This window comes from Homo sapiens, chromosome 3 (assembly GCF_000001405.40).
Source record: "Homo sapiens chromosome 3, GRCh38.p14 Primary Assembly".
NCBI classification, from domain to species: domain Eukaryota; kingdom Metazoa; phylum Chordata; class Mammalia; order Primates; family Hominidae; genus Homo; species Homo sapiens.
Window position 1 is genome coordinate 90,079,443 of NC_000003.12, and position 27,047 is coordinate 90,106,489.

The 27,047-nt window shown below is 36.2% G+C and overlaps 3 annotated features.

Annotated features, from left to right (window-relative positions):
* Positions 1,449-2,253: an enhancer, noted in NCBI's record as "OCT4-NANOG-H3K27ac hESC enhancer chr3:90130041-90130845 (GRCh37/hg19 assembly coordinates)". NCBI's record gives its function as "activates a minimal SCP1, AML or CMV promoter by ChIP-STARR-seq in naive H9 embryonic stem cells {active_cell/tissue: H9 hESC(naive)}" and the evidence as "EXISTENCE:reporter gene assay evidence [ECO:0000049][PMID:30033119]".
* Positions 3,385-4,262: an enhancer, noted in NCBI's record as "OCT4-NANOG-H3K27ac hESC enhancer chr3:90131977-90132854 (GRCh37/hg19 assembly coordinates)". NCBI's record gives its function as "activates a minimal SCP1, AML or CMV promoter by ChIP-STARR-seq in naive and primed H9 embryonic stem cells {active_cell/tissue: H9 hESC(naive and primed)}" and the evidence as "EXISTENCE:reporter gene assay evidence [ECO:0000049][PMID:30033119]".
* Positions 4,263-5,138: an enhancer, noted in NCBI's record as "H3K27ac hESC enhancer chr3:90132855-90133730 (GRCh37/hg19 assembly coordinates)". NCBI's record gives its function as "activates a minimal SCP1, AML or CMV promoter by ChIP-STARR-seq in primed H9 embryonic stem cells {active_cell/tissue: H9 hESC(primed)}" and the evidence as "EXISTENCE:reporter gene assay evidence [ECO:0000049][PMID:30033119]".

Here is a 27,047-nt window from a genome sequence, read left to right on the forward strand (position 1 = left end):
TTTTTTAATAAAAGAGTTGGGAAAATTGGCATTATATAGAAAAAAAAAAAAAACAGGACTTCCATCCACATCACATATAAATGTAGACTAAATATATTAAGGATTCAAATGTGTAAAATAAAGTTATGAAGTCAATAATAGAAAATACAGAAGAATAACTTGGGGACAGATAGGTGGGAAATAACTTCTTAAACCCCAAAACAACATACACATACACAAGACACAACTTCTCATACTACACTTAAGGATTTTGTTCAAGAAAGGACCTCATAAATAAAGATCAGAGAAAATGGAAGACTGAAAGTTTTCACTAAAACTATCAAAGGTCTAATACATAGACTATCCTGAGAAAATAAAAAAGGTGAAAACGTAAATCCCAGTTGAAAACTGGGCAAAGTATATGTTCTGTCAAGTTACAGAGGAGATGGTCTACAAAGCCAATTAGCACATAAAAAGATGCTCAGACTTAATCAGAAAGATGCATACTGAAGCAATGAGACATCATTTTATGTCCATAATGACCAAAATTAAAAGCTAGATAACACCAAGCATTGGCAGGCTTGTGGGATCACGAGAACCCTCAGGAACCACAGGTAGAAAGGTGGATGGCCTATACATCAGAAGACGAATTTGTAATACAGTGATAACATCAAGGAACTGTGTAGTTATTGTATGGTGAAGACCCATTACAGTGCACTGTTGGCTAGAAGCAATGGAGTATATTGCTCATAGCCAAAAGGAAAAATTGTAAGAACATACTTATGAATGAAAATGGTAAGGACAATATCTATTCCATTGCTATTTTCATAAATTAAAAATAGACATGTGAAACAGCAATATACATTTTGTAAGAACATAAGAGCAGAAGGATATACAGTATGGTGTCTTTTGTGGAGAAAGGTGGTGAACAATGGGAATAAAGGAAATCCATCAATGACCAAGATACGAGCAGGACTTTGTTCAGACCAGTGCCTAGCATATTATATACACTGAGGAATATGGTGAACTTAACCTTCTTCTATAATTTTTAAAAATAGGAAGAAGAAAAAGTGTAAGACAAAAAAGATCTACAATACTATAAAACTTCAGGGCACAAGGATCATTATGTAACAGAATTTTTAATGATTTAAAAACTTAAAAATGCATATTCTTGAACTATCTAGTCATTCATTACTTGAACAAACACATATTGAGGGCCTATTATATATATATAACAGAAATTTAATAAGAAAAAAATGTACAACAATAAATTAAGATGAATATTTTCATATATTAAACACAGATCATTAATAAAGAAATCTTAATTCTCAATTTGAAAGTACTATTCTTGATTTATTAGGCCATGTGTACTTGTATATAGAAAATGTATGCAGTTTACACCATAATTGTGTCTCAATGCTACATTGTCATTGGACCAAAATTAGCCTTTATAGTCTATCTTGTTTCTTGAAATGTACATAATGCATATCAAGAATCTGCAGTGGAGAAATCCATCTTCAAAATAATCTCCTGATTATCTCTCCATGTCTGGCATTCTGGCCCTTATTAATCATCTCTTATAAATCTGGTCTTTGACACCATAGACAAATACAACTTTATTAGTTGCAAATGTATTTGGCGGCCTCTAAATGGCTTTCTCAAATTGCACTGCTCTCACAGTGCAACATGTTCTTTCATGTTGATTAAAATATGTGAGGGATACAAACAACAACAAAAGAGTAACAGGAAATCCAATCATTCCTTTCATCTTCCCAGTGGGAGCTGGTCACTGCAGCCAGCTTGACATTCTTCAAACAAAACTTCCCTTTTTGTGGCTGAAGAAAGGCTTTGGCAAACACTTATCCTTTGATATGATATGCACTTGACAAAAATCACAGAGCAAATCAAGCCACTGCTTTGAAGAAAATGCTTATTAAAAACCTGAAGCTCTTAAGTGCACTAGGACTTAGTGTGTTGCTAGCAATGTGAGGCCAAATGTGTCTGTGGCATCGATTTAAAGTCAAGTCCAAATGCATGGACTTCAGGGCTGCAGCTGCCATCTCATTCCTTTGTTTAATTGCAAGTATACCTTGAAAAACTCTTTAGTCTTCAAGTATATTCTGGAATATCACTTGTATATTTTATTCCGTGAAACGTAACATTTTATTCTTTAGGTGGAAAGAAATTTGAGAAAATCCTTGTTCTAATTAGCCTTTGCTCAATGTCCCAGAATCTCCAGCCACCTGCCAATTTCTTTTCCAAGTAGAAACTCAGCTTTCGAAGAAGTACACTGAGGTGTCCAGGGTCAAATTGGATTTCTAACATACAGAGTCAAGTTTGGAAATCCTCATACACTTTCAGGTTTCCCCAGGAAACAAATGGCACATTAAAATTGGGATAGCTTGAGGGCAGTTTAATAAAAGGATTTTACAAATGTTTGCGCAAGAGTGGAAAACCCACTAGGTATAAGGTAGTACCCCTGGCCATTTAAGGGGGAAGGTGTTAGTTAGCAGCCCTAAGTCTGCAGAGGAGTGACTGATGGCCAAAATCCAGAGACAGAGGGGCTGGGTAAACAGCAGCCACCCTCAGCAATCATACAGGAAAAGAACAAGGGAATAGACATCCTGAATTCACTCCCTACTTCCCATCTCCTGCTGATATTTCCCACTGTTCTCACCAAATTAGAGGGCAGAAAGAGGGCAAGGGAACCAGGTGACATAGTTTCTACAGATCAGCTTCCCAGGACCAAAGAATGATAGATGTGGATCTGTAGGGTACCCAGAAGACAGCCAACATACAGGCATCATTTCTTCCGCCCAAATCACTCCTAAGGGTAGGTACATTTGTTAGGAGTACCAGCAAAACATCACATAACTTTTCTAAGTTTCAACCTAGGTAGAAGGAAAAACTCAGAACTCCTGGATTTTCTGTGATAAAGCCCTTTTCAGTTCCTAATATGCAAATGTGCTAAATTGAATTTGTAATTAAGTTAAAAATGAACTAAATAGATTCTATTAATGATTTATATCCCCTCAAAATACACCAGTATGTTTGCTTTGAAATAACTACAACAAAGGTACATAAAAATATGGGCAGAAATGTAATTGTAAGTATTCTCTGAAATAGCATAATTAATAGTTTCAACAAAATTTTCTCCTTTTCTATTCAAGAAGTCATCAGCGAAGAGAAAGTGCAGATAGGAAATGTTTTCCCCAGTAGCTCAGCTCCTGCTAATCTCTAGACTTTTCTACTTTGATATCTTCCTGACACTTCAGGTCCAGCCTGTCTACAAAATTGTGCTTCCTCCTCTCTCTTCCCACTCTAAGATTACTAACTCCTGAAATGATGTAGTGTGTGTGTGTATGTGTGTGTGCACATATGTATGTGTCTTCCATGGTAAATATTCAATAGATGTGCTTATTGATTATTGGACACATGCTTTTTTAACATCTACTTTAAGAGGATAATGGAACTTTTCATGAAAACTATAAATAAAAAATACAGCCAAGAAGGCACTAACTCCTTTGGTATCTTCAGATGATCAGTATTTTGCAAGTATGAGTGTCAGGCCTCTGAGCCCAAGCTAAGCCATCATATCCCCTGTGACCTGCACATACACATCCAGATGGCCGGTTCCTGCCTTAACTGATGACATTCCACCACAAAAGAAGTGAAAATGGCCTGTTCCTGCCTTAACTGATGACATTATCTTGTGAAATTCCTTCTCCTGGCTCATCCTGGCTCAAAAGCTCCCCTGCTGAGCACCTTGTGACACCCCCACCCACTCCTGCCCGCCAGAGAACAACCCCCTTTGACTGTAATTTTCCTTTACCTACCCAAATCTTATAAAACGGCCTCACCCCTATCTCCCTTTGCTGACTCTCTTTTCGGACTCAGCCCGCCTGCACCCAGGTGAAATAAACAGCCTTGTTGCTCACACAAAGCCTGTTTGGTGGTTTCTTCACAGGGATGTGCATGAAATTTGGTGCCATGATTCAGACCCCACTGGAAATCGGACTGTTCAACTCACCTGGCAGCCACTCCCAGAGCCCCTGGAACTCTGGCCCAAGGCTCTCTGACTGACTCCTTCCCAGATCTTCTCGGCTTAGCAGCTGAAGACTGACATTGCCCGATCACCTCGGAAGCCTACAGGACCATCACGGATGCTGTGAGTAACTCTCACAGTGGACGGTAAGTCCGTCCCCTTCTTAATCAATATGGAGACTACCCACTCCACATTACCTTCTTTTCAAAGGCCTGTTTCCCTTGCCTCCATAACTGTTGTAGGTACTGACGGCCAGGCTTCTAAACCTCTTAAAACTCTCCAACTCTGGTGCCAACTTAGGCAATACTTTTTTAAGCCCTCCTTTTTAGTTATCCCCACCTGCCCAGTCCCCTTATTCAGCTGAGACACTTTAACTAAATTATCTGCTTCCCTCACTATTCCTGGACTGCAGCCACATCTCATCGCCGCCCTTCTTCCCAATCCAAAGCCTCCTTTCCATCCTCCTCTTGTATCCCCCTACCTTAACCCAGAAGTATGGAATACCTCTACTCCCTCCTTGGCGACCAATCATGCACCCCTTACCATCTCATTAAAACCTAACACCCTTACCCCGCTCAATGCCAATATCCCATCCTGCAGCACACTTTAAAAAGATTAAAGCCTGTTATCACTTGCCTGTTACAGCATGGCCTTTTAAAGCCTGTAAACTCTCCTTAAAATTCCCCCATTTTACCTGTCCAAAAACTGGACAAGTCTCACAGGTTAGTTCAGGATCTGCGCCTTATCAACTAAATTGTTTTGCCTATCCACTCCATAGCGCCAAGCCCATATACTCTCTTATCCTCAATACCTCCCTTTACAATCCATTATTCTGTTCTGGATCTCAAACATGCTTTCTTTACTATTCCTTTGCACCCTTCACCACAGCCTCTCTTCACTTTCACTTGGACTAACCCTGACACCCATCAGGCTCTGCAAATTACCTAGGCTGTACTGCCACAAGGCTTCACAGACAGCCCCCATTACTTCAGTCAAGCCCATATTTCATCCTCATCTGTTACCTATCTCAGCATAATTCTCATAAAAACACAGGTGCTCTCCCTGCTGATCGTGTTAGACTAATCTCCCAAACCTCAATCCCTTCTACAAAACAACTCCTTTCCTTCCTAGGCATGGTTAGTGCAGTCAGAATTCTTACACAAGAACTGAGACCACACCCTGTAGCCTTTCTGTCCAAACAACTTTACCTTACTGCTTTAGCCTAGCCCTCATGTCTGCATGCAGTGGCTGCCACTGCTTTAATAGTTTTAGAAGCCCTAAAAATCACAAACTATGCTCAACTCACTCTCTACAGTTCTCATAACTTCCAAAATCTATTTTCTTCCTCATACCTGATGCATATACTTTCTGCTTCCCAGCTCCTTCAGCTGTACTCACTCTTTGTTGAGTCTCCCACGATTACCATTGTTCCCAGCACGGACTTCAATCTGGCCTCCCACATTATTCTGGATACCACACCTGACCCTCGTGACTGTATCTCTGTGATCCACCTGATGTTCACCCCATTTCCCCATATTTCCTTATTTCCTGTTCCTCACACTGATCACATTTAGTTTATTGATGGCAGTTCCACCAGGCCTAATAGCCACTCACTAGCAAAGGCAGGCTATGCTATAGTACAAGCCACTAGCCCACCTCTTAGAACCTCTCATTTCCTTTCCATCGTAGAAATCTATCCTCAAAGAAATAACTTATCAGTGTTCCATCTGCTATTCTACTACTTCTCAAGGATTATTCAGGCCCCCTCCCTTCCCTACACATCAAGCTCAAGGATTTGCCCCCACCCAGGACTGGCAAATTGACTTTACTCAACATGCCCCAAGTCAGGAAACTAAAATACCTCCTAGTCTAAGTAGACAGTTTCACTGGATAAATAGAGGCCTTTCCCACAAAGTCTAAGAAGGCCACCATGGTCATTTCTTCCCTTCTGCCAGACATAATTCCTTTGTTTGGCCTTCCCACCTCTACACAGTCTGATAGCAGACCAGCCTTTATTAGTCAAATCAGCCAAGCATTTTTTCAGGCTCTTAGTATTCAGTGAAACTTGTATATCCCTTACAGTCCTCAGTCTTCAGGAAAGGTAGAACGGACTAATAGTCTTTTAAAAACACACCTTACCAAGCTCAGCCACCAACTTAAAAAGGACTAGAGAATACTTTTACCACTTTCCCCTCTAAGAATTCAGGCCTGTTCTCAGAATGCTACAAGGTGAACAGGAGCCCATTTGATCTCCTGTATAGATGCTCTTTTTATTAGGCCCCAGTCTCATCCCAGACACCAGATCAACTTGGACTGTGCCCCAAAACTTGTCATCCCTACTATTTTCTGTCTAATCATACTCCTATTCACCATTCTCAACTACTCATACATGCCCTGCTCTTGTTTACACTGCCGGTTTACACTGTTTCTCCAAGCCATCACAGCTGATATCTCCTGCTGCTATCCCCAAACCGCCACTCTTAACTCTTAAAGTAAATAAATAATATTTGCTTGCAAGGCTATGCTGAACCTCCTTCAGCACTCTCTAATTAGATGTCCTAAGTCCTCCCAATTCTTAGTCCTTTAATACCTGTTTTTCTCCTTCTCTTATTCCGTTTAGTTTTTCAGTTCATACAAAACCGTATCCAGGCCATCAGCAATAATTCTACATGACAAATATTTCTTCTAACAACCCCACAATATCATCCCTTACCACAAAATCTTCCTTCAGCTTAATCTTTCCCACTCTAGGTTCCCACACCGCCCCTAATACCCCTCGAAGCAACCCTGAGAAACAACGTCCATTATCTCTCCATACCACACCCAAAAATTTTTCGCCGTCCCAACACTTTACCACTATTTCGTTTTATTTTTCTTATTAATTATAAGAAGACAGGAATGTCAGGCCTCTGAGCTCAAGCTAAGCCATCATATCCCCCGTGACCTGCACATACATATCCAGATGGCTGGTTCCTGCCTTAACTGATGACATTATCTTGTGAAATTCCTTCTCCTGGCTCATCCTGGCTCAAAAGCTCCCCTGCTGAGCACCTTGTGACCCCCTCCCCGCCCCTGCCCGCCAGAGAACAACCCCCTGTGACTGTAATTTTCCTTTACCTACCCAAATCTTATAAAATGGCCTCACCCCTATCTCCCTTTGCTGACTCTTTTCGGACTCAGCCCGCCTGCACCCAGGTGAAATAAACAGCCTTGTTGCTCACACAAAGCCTGTTTGGTGGTCTCTTCACATAGCCACGCGTGAAAATGAGCAACTATCTACAAATGAATCCACTGTACTTAGTAAAAGTAAATTGGAGAATTTAATCTAAAAATTTTTATCAATAAAATTAAAATAAACAACAAAGAAAATGAATAAATAAACATAAATAAATACATTATTAAGCTGTTAAAATCAGTAAAACTAAGAAATATAGGGTTAAATAATTAGGAGGTGTAAAACTGGCATGCACACACACACACACACACAAAATGCTTCAATTAATAGTAGTAAAAAGAACAATAGCCAAGAACCAGGTGTTCATGCCAAATCTGGGACTAATTATCTGCATGACCATGGGCAGTGCTAAAGTACATACGGTATTAATGAAACAAGGTGACCCATGATGACTGTTGAAGTGGGTATTGGTACCTACTATTCTACAGGGTTTATGGACTGCCAGCACTGTCCAAAAATATATAAGGTGAGCCACATGTGTAATTTCAAATCTCTTAGTAAGCAGTTTTAAAAGGTAAAAATAAATAAGTCAAATCCATTTTTAAATTATTTTTATTTAGCTCAATATACCCAAAATATCATTTCGACGTGTGTCAATAGCCAAATTTGAAGTGCTTTGTCATGGCTCATGGTTACCACATTGAACAGCAGAGTTCTATGCTACACGCTACTTTTATGCATGAGGAAAATGTTTTCCAGAATAAAAGAAGAAAGTTGACAAATGTGTTTACCTCTCTGCGTAGCTCAGTTTCCCCATCTATATGTTGAAGAAAATGTACTGGCCATTATTATTAATTATTATTATTAATGACCAGTACAATAATTTATAAGCTTCTTTTAACTCTATTTCTTATTATTTGTTATTATTATAATTGACCAGTACAATAATTTCTAAAGCTCTTTTTAACTTTATTTCTTAGTTTTGTTTTGTTTTTTCCTAAAGTATTTTTTTTTCACTGCTTGGTAGAAAAAATGTATTTTTAAAAGAGAAATTTATTTATGCTCTCAGTGGGATATAACCTGAAAATTACCACTCTATTTATCTAAGGAATATTTGGAGACAAATGACTATTTATTTATAAAATGATTTTTCTTCTGCTCCAAGACCAAATGGCAATATATGAGCTCAGTTTACACTTATACCACTGTTTTGCTCATTGAATTATTCCTTTCACACAATAAGATTTACTGCCAGCCAGTGCTAGACCCTGATGACAGATGGGTGTGCAGGCAGAGGTAGATTTGAAATACAAAGATAAATTATAATACATACTCAGTAAGGGATTTTTTCTTTCTTTTTTTTTTTTTTGTAACAGAGTCTCACTCTGTCACCCAGGCTAGAATTCACTGGTGCGATCTCGGCTCACTGCAACCTCCACCTCTTGGTTTAAGGGATTCTTCTGTCTCAGCCTCCTAAGTAGCTGGGATTCCAGGCACGCATCACCATGCCTGGCTAATTTTTGTATTTTCAGTAGAGATGGAGTTTCACCATGTTGGCCAGGCTGGTCTCAAACTCCTGACTTCAGGTGATCTGCCCTCCTTGGCCTCCCAAAGTGCTGGGATTACATGCATGAGCCAGCCCGCCCAACCCATGAGGGATTTTGGAGAATAGAAAGTAAAATACCTTAGGTATTTTCACCATCCTTTTTTTTGTACTTAATAACTTCACAGATTTGTCAAATTTGTTCATCTGATTTTTTAATTTAATTTTATTTATTTATTTTTTGAGACGGAGTCTCACCGTGTTGCCCAGGCTGGAGTGCAATGGCAGGACCTCAGCTCACTGCAACCTCAGCCTCCTGGGTTCAAACAATTCTCCTGCCTCAGTCTCCCCAGTAGCTGGGATTACAGGCGCCCACCAGCACGCCCAGCTAATTTTTGTATTTTTAGTACAGACAGGGTTTCACCATTTGACCAGGCTGGTCACAAACTCCTGACCTAGTGATCCGCCCACCTCTGCCTCCCAAAGTGCTGGGATTACAGGCGTGAGCCACCGCACCCGGCCCATTTGATTTTTTGTATTGTGTATTGTAGCTATATTTTACAGAGTTTTGGCCTCATACCATCCACAACTTATATTTAAAGTGAAAATTCTTGCAAATAACTGTGTTTTAAAAAAAATTCAGCTCATGACTGACCAAATTGTTTAATTTTAATTTGTTTTAATGGCTTTTATATCTAGTATATCTACTCTGTTCTTGTAGTTCAATAGGCCAAGCTCACCAATAAATATGATTTTTGGCAACATTTTAAAGAAAAGCTATAGGTGCCTCAAAACAAATAAAAGAGATTCCCCATACCAAATAAAACAAATTTGCCTATTTGACCAATTTTAAGAGAACCTGATACATGAAAAATCCAGGCTTACTAAATATCATTTATATTTTATATATGTAAAGGTTATTTGTAATATTTAAAAAGTTAATAAACCAAAAAAATTCCTGCTATCTTTTTCATAAGGAACTATTTCGGTACAATCACATAATAATTTTTTAAATACATTTGCATGAAATTACTTAGGGACCAATTTATTACAATTTATTTATTGATATTATTTTTCCAAAATAAATAGAAACATCCGTACAAATACCTATTGAATTAAGTAATATATACCTGTTGAGAATTTTTTCCCCAATTATACTACAAGCCTGAGATACACATAGGATTAGCAGTTTCTTATCAGTCCTTTGAATGAAAAGTAAGATGTTTTTGTACACTCTATTTACCTTCTAGTTGTTACTTAAAAGGTGTGATTGATCTCCTTTTGTAGCTTTAACAATGTGCTTTTTAAACAAGAGATCAGAGTATGTAAAGTAATTCATAAAATAAACAGCCTAAAATCAGACAAACACAAACACGCGCACACACACACACATACATTTTCTATAAGTTTCTTCAGTATCACTTCCATGGGAGAAAAAATAATTATAGAAACTTTTTGGACAAGCAAAAAATCATTACCATGAATCAATTGTTTTCTTTATGGTTTTCTTCTTTGAATCGGTTTATCTGGTCTTTATTACCTGTGAGCTTCCAGCCGTCTCATTCTACAACATTAATGAAAATAAAGAGCTATTTCCCTTAATGGGACTAAAAATCCATTGGCATTAACAGGAACAGAAGTCTTTCTGCAGTTATGGGAACAAATGTTTATTCTCAGTTACAGGAATTAAGTGTTGTTCCCCTGAATTGTCAGTCCTTTGAAGGAGGGAAGGTAAGAAGAATGTAAATAGAAAAGGAGTAGAATTGTATTTTTACCTGAAGTGCACATTGCTAGTTAATAGTTACAAGAGAGATGTAAATCTAAATGAATTAATTCAACAAGCAACTTTTCCTGCCATCAGTTTATCCTCAAGCACCCCAGTGTTTTATCATACAAGCTCAGCATCTGTGGTGGTTCGTCTGGCAGAAAGTTTTCCTGGAGAACATTTTTTTGATAGAAGCCGAAGGGGAAGCTGAAAATCCAGGATAAGACTTGGAGCTCTTCGCTCTCTTTGTAACAAATTAGGTGACCAAACAGTGGGTTATTTTCAGATCTCGAATGTTCCAGAGGTACCCACTCAAAGGCAGTGGCTCTTTGGATGACATGCAACACTTTTGCAAGAAAATCGAGACCTCTGGCAATATTTAGATTTGTATCATTAGTACCTCAGGAAAAAGCTACTGAACACAGTAACTCTAGATGCAGTACCTACTAAGAACCAATTGTTCCAGCAAGAGGAGTAGGATATCAAATAAGGAGTGACCTTCAAAACCCAATTTTAAGCATAATCCGTTATGGTCCCTAAACTCATGATTAAAAATATATTCAAGATTTTTATTAAATAAACTCATCACTTCTTTAAAACTTTTCTGTACTTTCTCCTATACATGTTCTTCTCCTCAGGCATAAGGTGTACTCATTATTGCCAAGACATCCCTGAACAACTCTCCCCAAAATGCCCCCTGCTCTCTATTCCAGCAAATGGAGTGTCTTGATACTTTAAAGCCAAAAGCAAAATCGACTTCTTCCAAAGGCAATCATGACAGATCTAAGCTACATGGAATCACATATCTAAATTTCTATAGTCTCTTCCACCTATTTGGCACTTAAATACTGCCTTAAAAGTTCAGTTTTATTTATTTCTTTTACACTGTACAGTCAGCACCATAAGGCATTATGCTCTGTTAAATTATCTTTGTACTCTCCGCAACACCTAGTATATAGCCTGGTCTCTATCTGGCATTTAATAGGCATTAAATGGATTTTACAAATAGAGAAAGGGAAGCAGTGAGCAGTAACACAATCCTTTATACTGAAATTATTCATCCATGAAAGATATGAAACTAAAATGTAAATTTCCCTCTTATGAACTTATTTCTCTTTCCAATAACTAATGCTGTTTTCAAATACCACACACATTTTTGTATACATTGTTCAATTCTAGTCCCCACTTACAGAAGTGAGGCTGTTATTGTTGTCACTGATAACTGATGTCATTCATTTTTGATGTGATATAAATAAGACCCCTAAATTGTTATGGCAGAATAAAGGAGGAAAAACAATTGACATGAAAGAAAATTGTTCACCTATTTCTATTTCATATTACAACATCATTAGAGGATAAAGATGCAGGGTAAGTTGCAATAACTAAGTGGTAATGCAATTAAGAAGAAATAGCAACCAAATCCAAGAACTAGAGGAAATAACTGGCATAGCATCTAGTCACTCAACAAATATGTCTTAAGGATTTATTATATACTGGCCAATATGATAAACAATTACAAGATAAAATAAAAACACATATGTATCTCTTAAAGATCTCTAGCAGGAAAGACAATTTTTCATAAATAAATGTACCAGAATATTGAAACCAAGTCATAAAGGAGTTTTAAAGAGCTTTGATGGTGGGCGTGGCTAGCTACATAGGCAGCTTGTTCTCACTGTGTTTCCTCATTTAACACAGCACCCAGCTTTCTGTGGGTACTTAATAACTACCAGTTGGCAAATGGATAAATGCCAGAGGTTGGGAGAAAGAGAAGAGCGTGTTATCTCCCCAGTAGCCCAGCAAGCTTGTGTGGATGGTGTGGGGGCCTTCCTAGCTGTGACAGCTACACAGTGACTCCCAGTGGTCACAAATTGAATCTCATCTTTGATCACAGTCTAATATAGTGTATAATTTAGTACAGTATATTTTATATATATAATAATTTATGCATGTAAGATATCATTAAGTATAATTACTAAAGCCATAGGCCTTCAAAAAACTCTCATGCTCATTCTGTTGAAAAGTGAAAAGGTTTTCTACAAACACAATGATGTGAGCTAAATAAATAATAAGTTCTTTCCAATTCCTAAAGCTGGATTCTATGATTTTAAACTAATTTTCTAACATGACCAATGTAGTGTTAAACTTAACATTAATGAGAACAAACAGAAAAGACTTGTATTCAGAAAACTACCTATTGTTTCTAAGCTAACAGGAATGCCTTTTCTAGTTTAAGACATGAGAATATTTCTCTGAGTTTTGCCTAAAAATTAGAAGGCATTCGTGTGAGACTGCAGTGAGACACTTCTGTCTATGGAGAAAGAAGGCCCTCACTAGAACCCAAAGATGCTAGCAAACTGATATTGGAATTTCCAGCCTCTAGAACGTAAGAAATAAATTTCTGTTACCATAAGCCAAAAAATAATAATAATGATTAGAAGGCATTCTTCTTAGAACAATTATTGGCTATATATGAGCTCCAAATTATTCCAATTACTTATAAACTATGTACATTCTTTTCCATCCTTATAAAGAAAAAGTAGAGTGGGTCGTTCTATTTTTGGCCATTGTTACATGGGCATATCCATTAATGTGTAACATTTATCTGCCAATAAAAGTAACTATGTAGTAGGTCATTCTGGCATACTAGCATTTACCAAGTTCAGTTCAATTAAGAAAACATGATCACTACCGACTATACACCAAACATTGTGCTAAGTACTGTAAAAATAAGGACGGTTAAGATGCCATACCTGCCCAAGAAAAACTTAACGGTGCATGGTGAAGATAGACTTCCATGTCTTCCAGGAGGCAGAGGGAACATGAAAGAAAATAATAGAAACCAGCAGTTAGATACGGCATCATAGTTGCAATGTCACCCTCCTCTATACGTGTCAGACATACCCCAAATCCAGTCATTCCGGGAGCAATTGTCACCTTCAGTCCATTCACAAAGGCTTTGAAAACACCCTGACCATGATCCTGTCGTTGCTATCAGCCATTCTTTTGTTCCTGCATATTAAATTAGATGAAGGCTCTCAACTGACATCAGACAAAGAAATCAGGCAGCTAAGGGAAAAGAACAGTTTGAACTACATACGGAAATCCATGGAGAAATGTCCTGTCAAGAGTATAGCTAGAAAATTCAAGCTGCAAGAAGCTGTATATTACTATGTAAGTGTCCATATCCCCAAATGAAAAAACACTACATGAAATGAGATAACACTGTCCTAAAACCATGATATATATGGACATCTGTTCATGTAGACTGACCCCTAGTGATATAAACTGATTGCTGCAGGGAGAACAAACAAGACTGTTTTTAAAAATGAGATAGATCACCCCTCTTCAAAATGTGGCTTCCAAAACATAAACAATCTAAGTGAGATTTGCAGCCATTATTGTCCTTTCTAGAAACTAAACAAACATAATCTACAACATTTATATGGAAAGAAAAAACAATTTAACAGAAGAACAAATCTACCTAGAATCAATGAAACTATCTCCTTTAAATGACTAGATAGATATATGCTATTCTATGTCACCTCTGCTTGTCACCACCTCTGCGTATCTATAAGGCAGTATTTTTCAATCTTCATATAGGGTTGCAAATGACTTATAACAAAGATTTTTTTCAATTTTCAAAATTTATTTCAGTATGCCACAAAATAATTTCACCTATAATTCTGAAATACTTTCCACAAGTAATTTGTAAGTTTCCAAGTAATGATATTAAAAGATATATCATTAATGTGTTGACTAATTCAGAATAAAATTGACAATGCCAGTTAAAATAAAAAGCAATTTATTTCATATGTATTATTTGCTTCTTTTTAACATAAAACAAAAATTACATATAAAATTCAAAATTATGCTTAAGTTTAGGGACAGATGAGAAAAGAATATGTAAATTGTCTTATACATATAAAACTAGATGTGAATGACCTTTTCTCCTCCAACAATACAGAACATAATTAATTAAGATAATTCTTATTACAATTAAGGAGTATGGAATCAAAAGTCACCTACGTTGGTGAAGTAAGAGATCTCATGTGTATTTTCTCTTTCCTCCTATGTTCTTTCTTCTTTTCTCTCTTGGCCTCCAAAGGAGAAATTGAAAGAGCTCCTATATGTCAGACACTGTTTTCCTTTTTGCTTCTCAGAGAGAACTATTTCTATCTTTTGCTTTTCTGCCATCCACACAAAATAAGTCTAAATTACCTGTAAGGAGGCAGGAGCAGATAATCAGCCAAAGCAGGGTGTGGTGCCTAAAAACTTTCTTGTTGCATATTCTTATCTACTTCTTAAAACAGTTATTGCTAGTCCTATATTAAAGAAAAAGATACCATTACAGCAAATCACAATATATAGGCCATCTGTAAATTGTTCCTCCATGAGGAATAGATACTACAAAGCACTGCAGTTCATATAAATAGTAAAGGAGTCATAATTGTATAAAGTTCACACTACTGAAAATTAAAATCAAAAGAAATTAATTAAAGTATGCAAACCGTTTTCACAATAGCAGTTTTAACTTGAAACAATTCCGTAAACTCGGGATTTCTTGAGACCAATCCATCAAGAAATTTGTAAACAATGTAGCTTCTTTTAAGCTGTTGATATCCTGGCAGAGAAATATCTTTGAAGTTTCTCCTCCTCCTCTACAACTAAAATGCTCAATAACTAAAGAAAACCAATAGCCAAGAAGAGAGAGAGAAGTTTTTCCTTTAGAAAAACTTTAGAGAGGTCAAACCAACAGATGCTTATTCATGGCAATAAATATTTTAACATTCTATTAAAACAGCCCAGATCATTTTAGAAACTCAAGCTATAAGGCTTAGCAGTTCCGTATTCTATTTTATTTTTTTGCATATAATTACGGAATGACTAGTCATAATTCTAGGTAGAATGACTGAAGTTTGTAAGGGCTTGGAAAGTAGGAAACTTGTTTCAGATGTATATTTCCAGAATACAGTTTATAACACACTATCATTTCCAGGCCACTTGTACTAAGTTAAAGTTCACCTTGAGATTTTTTTTTCTTTTTTAGCCATCTGTATTATTCCTAAATAACTCTTATCTTCAAAAGCACTTCAAAATCTATCTTGTTAAAATTCCATGCATATATTTTCTGATTTTTTCCAGTTTTGTTAGGAATTCTTCCCATAAACAACAGAAGCCAGCATGCAAGGTGTGCACTCAACAACTGAAGCTTCTTTCTTACAATGTCTGTTCATCAGAGAAATTTTTTTCTCAGACTTTCTGATCTTTACTTCTTATACCAGTGTTTTGAAAACCTCTGGTCTAGTCCAGTAGTTCTCAGCACACACATTTCTACAAATGAATCTGTAACTCATTTGCAAAAATTGTAAAGTTTGATATTATCAATCAAAGAAGAGTTACACACACAAAAAAAACAAGCACAAATTCTCAAATTAGCACAAAAGTAAAATACTCAGATACAAAAAAAATAACAGTGAAGAGTTAAAAGGAAGAGGAACTATTATATCACATGTCCTAATTGCAAGTCCCACTGCAATCCTTTATTTTCCTTGTTGTATTTTAAAAACATATATTATTTATTTGTATTGAAGTAATGTCAATGATCTATCACAGCAAACAGATGCAGATGGAAAAACAGAAAATGTTCTCCAATTCACACTACAGAATGGACAAAGGGCTTAAGTTTAATATCCACTACTACGTAAATAAGTCTCTTAGGTACCCTTATGTTCTCCAGTTAAAAAAAAATCTTTAATTTCAGCATGTGGAAGACACAGTCACATTGGGCTGTTATTTGTAATAGGTCTTGCCCTCTCTCTTTCCTACAATACACCATAGAGTGATGAGCAAATGTATTCCCCTTACAGTTAAAGAGTTTGGAAATTAAAACTATCTACCCAGAGGTAGATAAGTAAAATCTCACTATATGAAAGCTTTCCAGATGTCTTTACATCCGCTTCTTTCCCTTAAGGCAAAAAGAACCAATGCATAAAACCCTGATATTTCAAATAATTCTCTTTCTGTCTGGCAGTTTTTCCTGCACAAGTCAGGGTCTGTGTTTCATGCTGCTCAGAGCTTTTTTGGCAGACTGATGTTCACAGTCACATGTATACTGTAAGGACTCAAACATTTTGTTTTTTCTAAACTCAACAACTACCAATGAATGTGAACTTAGTTGCTTCGACATGGGAAATCATAACACAGAAATTTCAATTAAGCAAACTCTTTTCAAAACAGTCCCTAAGGCCAGACTCTACAAGTCAGTCAAACATAAATGTCATCTCAATCATTCCAAGTAGGTTGCTAACACATGGAAAAATCTGCAGTAGTCAACTCTCTGTTTAAGCTGGATGACCTATCAAATAATGCTACCTCAATAATGATACTAAAACCTAGTCTCCAAGAATTTGATATGTTTTATCTACTCTCTGCCACTCACATCATAGGTAGGACATACACAGAGTTAATATTCTATACATTTAGGAGAAAGCACTTCAAAATCAGGTGACAACCAAGATGACACAGCAAGGCACTAATGAATCCAGTACCACCTAGTGGAATGAGAAAGTTAATGGGATGTACTAAACAAAAAAGAAGAGAGGATTCAGGAAGAGCCAGCAAACTTGCACAGGTGAATTGGGTTGACATAAGACTGTTATACCTGCTTTTCCACTGAAAAGGGGAAATTTGGGTTTGCCTGAGGAATTTTTCTGGTTATCTCCATAGAACTTCAAGCTTTGGGTCATGAAAAGAACCAATAAGTTTACTTCCATCCTTTATTTCCTCTTCACCAATACTCAGCACAATACATTTTTTAAACTACTTAATAAATATATGCTTTAATTTCATGTGTAATTCATCAGTGATTCTTGGAGACAAAGATACTAGTGATTAGTATGGTTTAACCAATTTTTTATTACTATTATACTTTAAGTTCTAGGGTACATGTGCACAATGTGCAGATTTGATACATAGGTATACATGTGCCATGTTGGTTTGCTGCACCCATTAACTCATCATTTACATTAGGTATTTCTAATGCTATCCCTCCCCCAGCTCCCCACCCTATGACAGGCCCGGTGTGTGATGTTCCCCCCCCTGAGTCCAAGTGTTCTCATTGTTCAGTTCTCATCTATGAGTGAGAACATGTGGTATTTGGTTTTCTGTCCTTGCGACAGTTTGCTGAGAATAATAGTTTCTAGCTTCATCCATGTCCATGCAAAGGAAATGAACTCATCCTTTTTTATGGCTGCGTAAGTATTACATGGTGTGTATGTGCCACATTTTCTTAATCCAGTCTATCATTATTGGACATTTGGGTTGGTTCCAAGTCTTTGCTAATGTGAATAGTGCAACAATAAACATACGTGTGCATGTGTCTTTATAGCAGCATGATTTATAAACCTTTGGGTATATACCTAGTAATGGGATCGCTGGGTCAAATGGTATTTCTAGTTCTAGAACCTTGAGGAATTGCGACACTGTCTTCCACAATGGTTGAACTAGTTTACACTCCCACCAACAGTGTAAAAGCATTCCTATTTCTCCACATCCTCTCCAGCACCTGTTGTTTCCTGACTTTTCAATGATCGACACTCTAACTGGTGTGAGATGGTATCTCATTGTAGTTTCGATTTGCATTTCTGATGACCAGTGATGATGAGCATTTTGTCATGTGTCTCTTGGCTGCATAAATGTCTTCTTTTGAAAAGTGTCTATTCATATCCTTTGCCCACTTTTGGATGGGGTTGCTTTTTTCTTGTAAATTTGTTTGAGTTCTTTGTAGATTCTGGATGAGTAGCTTGCAAAAATTTTCTCCCATTCTGTAGGTTGCCTGTTCACTCTGATGATAGCTTCTTTTGCTGTGCAGAAGCTCTTTAGTTTAATTAGATCCCATTTGTCAATTTTGGCTTTTGTTGTCATTGCTTTTGGTGTTTTAGACATGAAGTCTTTTCCCATGCCTATGTCCTGAATGGTATTGCCCAGGTTTTATTGTAGGATTTTTATGGTCCTAGGTTTTACATTTAAGTCTTTGATCCATCTTGAGTTGATCTTTGTATAAGATGTAAGAAAGGGGTCCAATTTCTGTTTTCTGCATATGGCTAGCCAGTTTTCCCAGCACCATTTATTAAATAGGGAATCCTTTCCCCATTTGTTGTTTTTGTCAGATTTGTCAAAGATCAGATGGTTGTAGATGTGAGGTGTTATTTCTGAGGCTTCTGTTCTGTTCCGTTGGTATGTATCTCTGTTTTGGTACCAGTACCATGCTGTTTTGGTTACTGGAGACTTGTAGTCAGTATCATACTGAATGGGCAAAAACTGGAAGCATTCCCTTTGAAAACTGGCACAACACAGGGATGCCCTCTCTCACCACTCCTATTCAACATAGTGTTGGAAATTATGGCCAGGTCAATCAGGCAAGAGAAAGAAATAAGGGACATTCAATTAGGAAAAGAGGAAGTCAAATTTCCCTGTTTGTAGATGACATGATTTTATATTTAGAAAACCCCATCATCTCAGCCCAAAATCTCCTTAAGTTGACAAGCAACTTCAGCCAAGTCTCAGGATACAAAATCAATGTGAAAAATCACAAGCATTCCTATACACCAATAACAGACAAACAGAGAGCCAAATCATGAATGAAATCCCATTCACAATTGCTTCGAAGAGAATAAAATACCTAGGAATCCAACTTATAAGGGACGTCAAGGACCTCTTCAAGGAGAACTACAAACAACTGCTCAATGAAATAAAAGAGGTTACAAACAAATGGAAGAATATTCCATGCTCATAGATAAAAAGAATCAATATCATGAAAATGGCCATACTGCCTAAGGCAATTTATAGATTCAATGCCATCCCCATCAAGCTACCAATGACTTTCTTCACAGAATTGGAAAAAACTATTTTAAAGTTCATGTGGAACCAAAAAAGAGCCCACATTGCCAAGACAAGCCTAAGCCAAAAGCACAAAGCTGGAGGCATCATGCTACCTGACTTCAAACTATACTACAAGGTTTAACCAATTTTACAGCAAGAAAGGGTATTAGAGCTTACTGTTCTTAATCCTTCCTTTTGTGAAAAGGAAATTGAGACCCAAAAGGGTGACATGAATTTTTCCAAATTATGCAACCAACAGGAGCAAAACTGGGACTAGAACTTAGATCTGCTTACTCCTGGTTTTATGTTCTTTCTACTCTTTCATATGGCCACTTATAAACAATGCCTATTATTTCAAAGTTATTATTTCTTCCACTGTGATGTCTAGTAGTGGAGAGTCAACGAATAATTTAAAATGAACCATTTAGAAACAGAAAAATGTAAACAAACATATTCTGACTTTCTGGGACATTACAGAAATTCATTTCAATATTTAGAGAATTTTGCTAATTAACACCATATCCTTTATTATAAAATATTATTCCTCCTGAGTCTTACATTTAGACAAGATTTATCTTACAGCCACAAAATTTGGTGTTTGAAATAAATTACAGTGTTTATGGAAACTTCTCAGGTTATGCTACTTTTATGTCTTGTAACTTTTATATCTTGTAACTTTTATGTCAGGTAAGAAATTTGAGGCTTTGTTCAAATATTTCCTCTTTCCAAACTGCAGTAAGTTCATTAAATGACTATTACACTGGAACAATGTCCTAAAAATAATATTTTATTTCATTCTAACTAATAAGGCCTGTTAGATATGGAAGTCTATATTGTGTTCTAAACAAAAGCTCTGTCAGCAATTTATTTATCGGATGGTAGAAAGGCTTCAGCACAATTAGTTTTTGGCATTATTTTGACTGAATCAAATTTCTATAAGTTTTTTTTATAATTTCTGTCTTCAGTTCAACCTGTATTAAAACTTTCAAGTGAAAATAATATTTCTAACTCAAACTGGTAGTGTTTGGCCTTGTAATATACATTGAATTTACAAATCACATTTAATTCTTGAGCCTTCTAGGTACATTATAGAAAATTTATTTTGCAAGAAAACTTAGAATTGTTGTTCCAATACAATGAATCTAATGTAAATGTTTCTGGTGAAAATACATATGCACATTTTTAGAGATATTATTGTTTCCCTGGAGCACATTTATTGTAGTCTTTTGAGTCCTAGAAATTTGCAGTGCCTTACATTATAAAGGAAGATGAGACATAACTGTTTTTTTTAACTACTGTATAAAATAGTTTACTGAGCTCTGTGTAAACACACAGTGTCTTTTTGACAGCATATTTTGCTTTTACTGATCGTGAATTTTGCAAACAAAGCCTTTAAGAATAATAGGTTCTTCAGACTGAGCATGGGTTTATTATTTTTCTTAAAGGTTTTGCTATTTGCTGTTTCCACTGAAAAAGCATAAAGACCTAATGAGCAGTTTCTCTTGTATCTTCAGGCTCTTTAAAACAAGAATGAGTTTCCGAAGTGCAAAGAGAGTGAACAAAAAGAGATGAGTGAAAGAGAAACCCGAGAAAGCCTATTTATCCATCTTATGACAAGTTCTTATGAAGTGACCCATTCATGTCAACAAGGGCCTAATGATTGCCAATTCTCATTGAGTGTCAGTTTTAAGAGGACGGAACATAGGATAAATGAAGAGCCTACCATATCAGTAATTTGGGCTGGAGCAAGCCTTTACGTTGAATTAAACCAACTAATCCTATATTAAACTAAGACCATCTCTGTGCAAGCAACTCTGGTAGATATTATAACTAGATATCCATTTATTAAGGAAAATTCCTTAAAAACTCAGAAGAGTTGAAAATAGAGCTCAAATTATAACTATACATTTATCTTTATTGCTTCTTACTTGGACAGCAGATAAAGTTTACAAGAAACAAAACTAAACACCAGTTGTCCTGTGGTGTCCAGAGATTAAGTACATAGACTATTCTTAAAGGTTTATATTTATTTGATTATATTTACTATTTATTTTTATCTTACATTTATTTACTTTATACATTATATATATTTATATTTATATTGTTCCATTGTAAGCCAGTTGTTTAACACATGGTGATTTTTAAAAATAATTGGCATTTTACATATTGCATTTTAGAGTGTTTATAATGAGAATGAATGTCTCTGAATTATGAGTGAGTCTAGCCTCTGATCGACAAGTCATAGCCTGGAAAACATGTGAATGACTAATGAAATTCTACATATGATGTTCTAATTTGCCAAATAGGCGAAAACACTCTGGGATTTCAGGAAACAGAAAATTCCAAAATAAATCATTAATTCAATGTTTTTTCCTTGAATATGGCTTTCTCTAGAAAATATGGCTTTCTCTAGAAAAACATTAATCCAAACTTTTGGAAGTTCCAAATACAGGGCAGATAAATACATTGAATATTGCAAAAGTACATTATTTTTGGATTATTTATTTTAAAATTAAACTGACAAATTACAATTGTATATATTTATGGGGTACAAAGTGGTGTTACGCTTATGAATACAATGTGAAATAATTACACCAAACTAATTAGCATATTCGTGATCTCAAATACTTACTACTGTGGTAAAAACATTTGAAATTGACTCGGCAATTTTGAAATGTACCTTATTTACTATATTTGCCACGTGATGAAACCTATCTATCTCAAAGAAAAAAATTATTCCTCCTGTCTATTTGAGGCTTTGTACCCTTTGACCATTATTTCCCCATTGACTCCATCCGCCAACCCTCGGTAGCCACCATTTTACTCTCTGCTTTTTTTACTTTGATTGTTTTAGATTCCATGTGTAAGTCCGATCATGAATATTTGTCTTTCTGTGCCTGACTTATTTTACTTAGCATAAAGTTCTCCATGTTCATTTTCATTGTAAAGGATTAGTGATCAACCAACGATATGCATGGTCTTTCTCCCAAAGACCTAATGTCCTGAGGGCAGAGGTAAAAATGAGAAATGACAAAAAGTAGGATTTCTACCTAGAGGATCCAAGATAGCTTAAAAAAGAAGGTATTATTTTTATATTTCAAGGTTTTTTTAGTTGATACATAATAATTGTACATATTTATGCGAGACGTGATATTTTCATATATCCATACAATGTGTAATAATCGAATCAAGGTATTAGGATACCCATCACCTCAAACATTTATCATTTCTTTGTGTTGAGAACATTTCAAATCTTCTCTTCTAGGAATTATTTTAACAGAAATTTGACTTAAAGAGTTTCAGACAGGTAATAATTTTGAAAAGAACCTGCAATCACCCATAACAATCAGGTGTGTAAGGAGTATATTCCCAGCATAGAGGGCAGCTGCTGCAGGCTGGTGAAGGGGTGAGGGCACAGCACAAACACATCAGCTCTGTGCCTGGGAGCCAAAAGAGCTGGATGAGTTGGAGATAGATGGAGCTGGCAGATGCAGAAGCTGCAAGTGAGGTTGGGAGATTCATTACAATAAACAAAGAAGTAAATTGAGCAAATTCTGTGTGTGTGTGTGTGTGTGTGTGTGTGTGTGACAAAGAGGATAAAGTGAGTAGATTTCTCACTGTCAGAGAAGAGATTTACAAACATGGGTAGAGAGAAAGAATCCTCAGGAGTGAAATTTAAATAAGAGGTATCAGTATGAATTATTTGTGTGCAAATACTCAGCTAGACATAGGACTATATAGAGAGACAGGTATATGTAGGTGTACGAATATAGACAGTTATGTCTCTGTAGGTGTATGACTATAGAGAAATATGTATATGTAGGTGTATGAATATATGTACATGTATTTCCCATTCTGTTTTCTTAGAAGTCTTTGAAGCAATGACATCCCAATAGCAATGAATACATCGAGGACCCAGATCTTGGTGACTGGATACCATCCTCCATTAATAGGAGTCAGAAATTCTTAGAAAAATAGCTAATTCCAGGGCTGGAGTGAGGCAAAACCAAGATGAGCCTGAAACATCTTGTGCCTGATAATAAGAAAATGCAAATGGACAGAGGCATCAGCTTTCAGGGGCCAAACCTGTGACAATTTGCATCAAAATAATGAGAGAAATGAATTACCGGTCAATTGAAAAAAATAGGAATTTATAAATCTACACTAGCATAAACAAATAATAAATAAATGAATGAACAAATAAGAAGGAAAAACTCTCCCTTACAATAGAATGACAACCAATTCATGAAGACAGAATGATAAAAATGAAAAATTACCCATTTGACAGTCATTGCAGACTGGCAGCTGGTTCAGGTGAAAGTCATCAAGGGAGGTTAAGGCTGGTTGGAGGCTCAATAAGTACAAGAGTAGTGCACTATTATAATTTCCTCACATAGAAAATTAATTAATTACAAAGGGTTTTGCTCTTAAGTCCTGATTGAATGAGGTCCATCCACATTACCAAGGGCAAGCTCCTTTTTTAGTCAACTGATCATAATAATAGTCACATCTAAATAATGCCTTCACAGCAACTGGACTAGTGTTTGACAAAAAAAGAAAAAGAAAAACAAAAACAAAAAAATAGGCACCATAGTCCAGCCAAATTTACACATAAAATTGTATCACACTCAGTATCGTCTAGAAACTTTTAAAATTCTTAGCAAATTATTTTCAAAAAGAACATATGAAAACATGAAGATAGCCATTTAGAAAGTCCATATCCAAAGTGTTGCACATCTTTCTAAAACATACATATATATATATATATATATATATATATATATATATATATATATATATATATGCAAAACTCCAAAACATATCCAAAATTATGCCCAGGAGTCTATTACATATTTATAGAATTTAGTCAAATATATATGTAATGATTGGGTTTAACTACCCTTTTCCTAACTTTTTAACCCTAGAAGATTTAAAAGAAGTCTTTTTTTAAGAGTAAGTTAGTTGGGAAGAAGGAGAGAAATTTGCCCAAAAAAGGTCCAGAAAGGCAAAAGAAAAAGATAAAACACAGGCAAAATAAAGGAGATATTTTGTATTTAAATATATACAAATAGTGACTCCAGCTAAATTAAAAAAATATTAAGATAGCATAACTAGTTAGAGGTAATTTGGTATACATCATCATGGACAATTTGGGTTTGTCCAGAGTCATACTGCTTAAAAAGAAATACCAACTTTGTAAGCAGTAACAGAAATAGACTCTGAATAAACTTCAGCGCATGGTACAATTCTAAAAGATCATATGTGTAGAAAAATTGGAGATCTAAACATATCATAAATCTAGGGAAGTTCCCAAAACAGACATAAATTCTCTGCATTAAAAGCACAAACACAAGTCTCTACACATTGCAAGCCTCTCTCTCCTTCCTCTTGTTCTCCCACTAACCCTGTTTATCTCTGCCATACATGCATTCATTTTAAGTTAATGAGGTTGGAAAGAAATCATACAGTGAGCATTTGAGGGTCAAAAGGCAGGAAGGTTCAGATTAATTCACCATGAAGATCAGTCACATCTGTCCACAGCCTTGGCACCTTTCGTTCTTACATATAGAAAACTATCATTATAATTTCTACAAACTAATTGGGTTGGCTTAATCCTAGAAAGCAGCTCTTGTTTCTTTAAGTAGGTTAAAGTGGTTGAAATTTTAAGCTTTTATAGAATAATTGGAATATTTTACTTGTGAAAGTGGCTTCTCTAGAAGGCTCATATAATTATATCTTACTAGTAAAAATGTAAAAATGTAAAGTCTCTTGAGCTTACACTTCAGAATTTAACTTTGAAAGCCAGGACTTAAAGTCAGAAAATATTCCTTATAAATTAGTAACAATTCTGAGAGAAATTATAAACAAGAGACAAATTAGATATTGAGCATAAATGGAAGCATAGCTCAATACCTCTGTGGTTTGTCTTCCTGATGGTGGTTGTAAGATTGAGTGCACACTTTATTAAGTCCTGCAGAGTTTAAAATAGCATGCACCTAACTGTTCAATAGCAGTTTTCTTATAACACTGGTAGGTTGTAAATAACTAAGATAGTACCATCCTAGATAATAATGTTGTTCAAAATAGGCTCATCATCTGACTTCCTTCAACTCATTTAGTTTGATCATGTAAAATAGGCTGGATGTGTAAGTAATTTTTTTTTCTAATTATACTTTAAGTTCTAGGGTACATGTGCACAACGTGCAGGTTTGTTACGTATGTTTACTTGTGCCATGTTGGTGTGCTGCACACATTAACTCATCATTTACATTAGGTATATCTTCTAATGCTATCCCTCCCCTCTCCCCCACCCCACAACAGGCCCCGGTGGGTGATATTCCCATTCCTGTGTCCACGTGTTCTCTTTGTTCAGTTCCCACCTATGAGTGAGAACATGTGGTGTTTGGTTTTTTGCCCTTGTGATAGTTTGCTGAGAATGATGGTTTCCAGCTTCATCCATGTCCCTACAAAGGACTTGAACTCATCATTTTTTATGGCTACGTAGTATTCCATGGTGTATATGTGCCACATTTTCTTAATCCAGTCTATCATTGTTGGATATTTCAGTTGGTTCCAAGTCTTTGCTATTGTGAAAAGTGCCACAATAAACATACGTGTGCATGTGTCTTTATAGCAGCATGATTTAAAATCCTCTGGGTATATACCCAGTAGTGGGATGACTGGGTCAAATGGTATTTCTAGTTCTAGATCCTGGAGGAATTGCCACACTGTCTTCCACAATGGTTGAAATAGTTTACAGTCCCACCAACAGTGTAAAAGTGTTCCTATTTCTCCATATCCTCTCCAGCACCTGTTGTTTCCTGACTTTTTAATGATCATCATTCTAACTGGTGTGAGATGGTATCTCATTGTGGTTTTGATTTGCAATTCTCTGATGGCCAGTGATGATGAACATTTTTTCATGTGTCTGTTGGCTGCATAAACGTCTTCTTTTGAGAAATGACTGTTCATATCCTTTGCCCACTTGTTGATGGGGTTGTTTGCTTTTTCTTGTATATTTGTTAGAGTTCTTTGTGATTTCTGGATATTAGCCTTTTGTCAGATGAATAGACTGCAAAAATTTTCTCCCATTCCGTAAGTTGTCTGTTCACTTTCATGGTAGTTTCTTTTGCTGTGCAGAAGCTCTTTAGTTTAATTAGATCCCATTTGTCAATTTTGGCTTTTGTTGCCATTCCTTTTGGTGTTTTAGACATGAAGTCCTTGCTCATGCCTATGTCCTGAATGGTATTGCTGAGGTTTTCTTCTAGGGTTTTTATGGTTTTAGGTCTAAGACTTAAGTCTTTAATCCATCTTGAATTAATTTTTGTATAAGGTTTAAGGAATGGATCCAGTTTCAGCTTTCTACATATGGCTAGCCAGTTTTCCCAGCACCATTTGTTAAATAGGGAATCGTTTCCCCATTTCTTGTTTTTGTCAGGTTTGTCAAAGATCAGATAGTTGTAGACGTGTGATATTATTTCTGAGGGCTCTGTTCTGTTCCATTGGTCTGCATCTCTGTTTTAGTACCAGTACCATGCTGTTTTGGTTACTGTAGCCTTGTAGTATAGTTTGAAGTCAGGTAGTGTGATGCCTCCAGCTTTGTGCTTTTGGGGTAAGATTGACTTGGCAATGCAGGCTCTTTTTTGGTTCCATATGA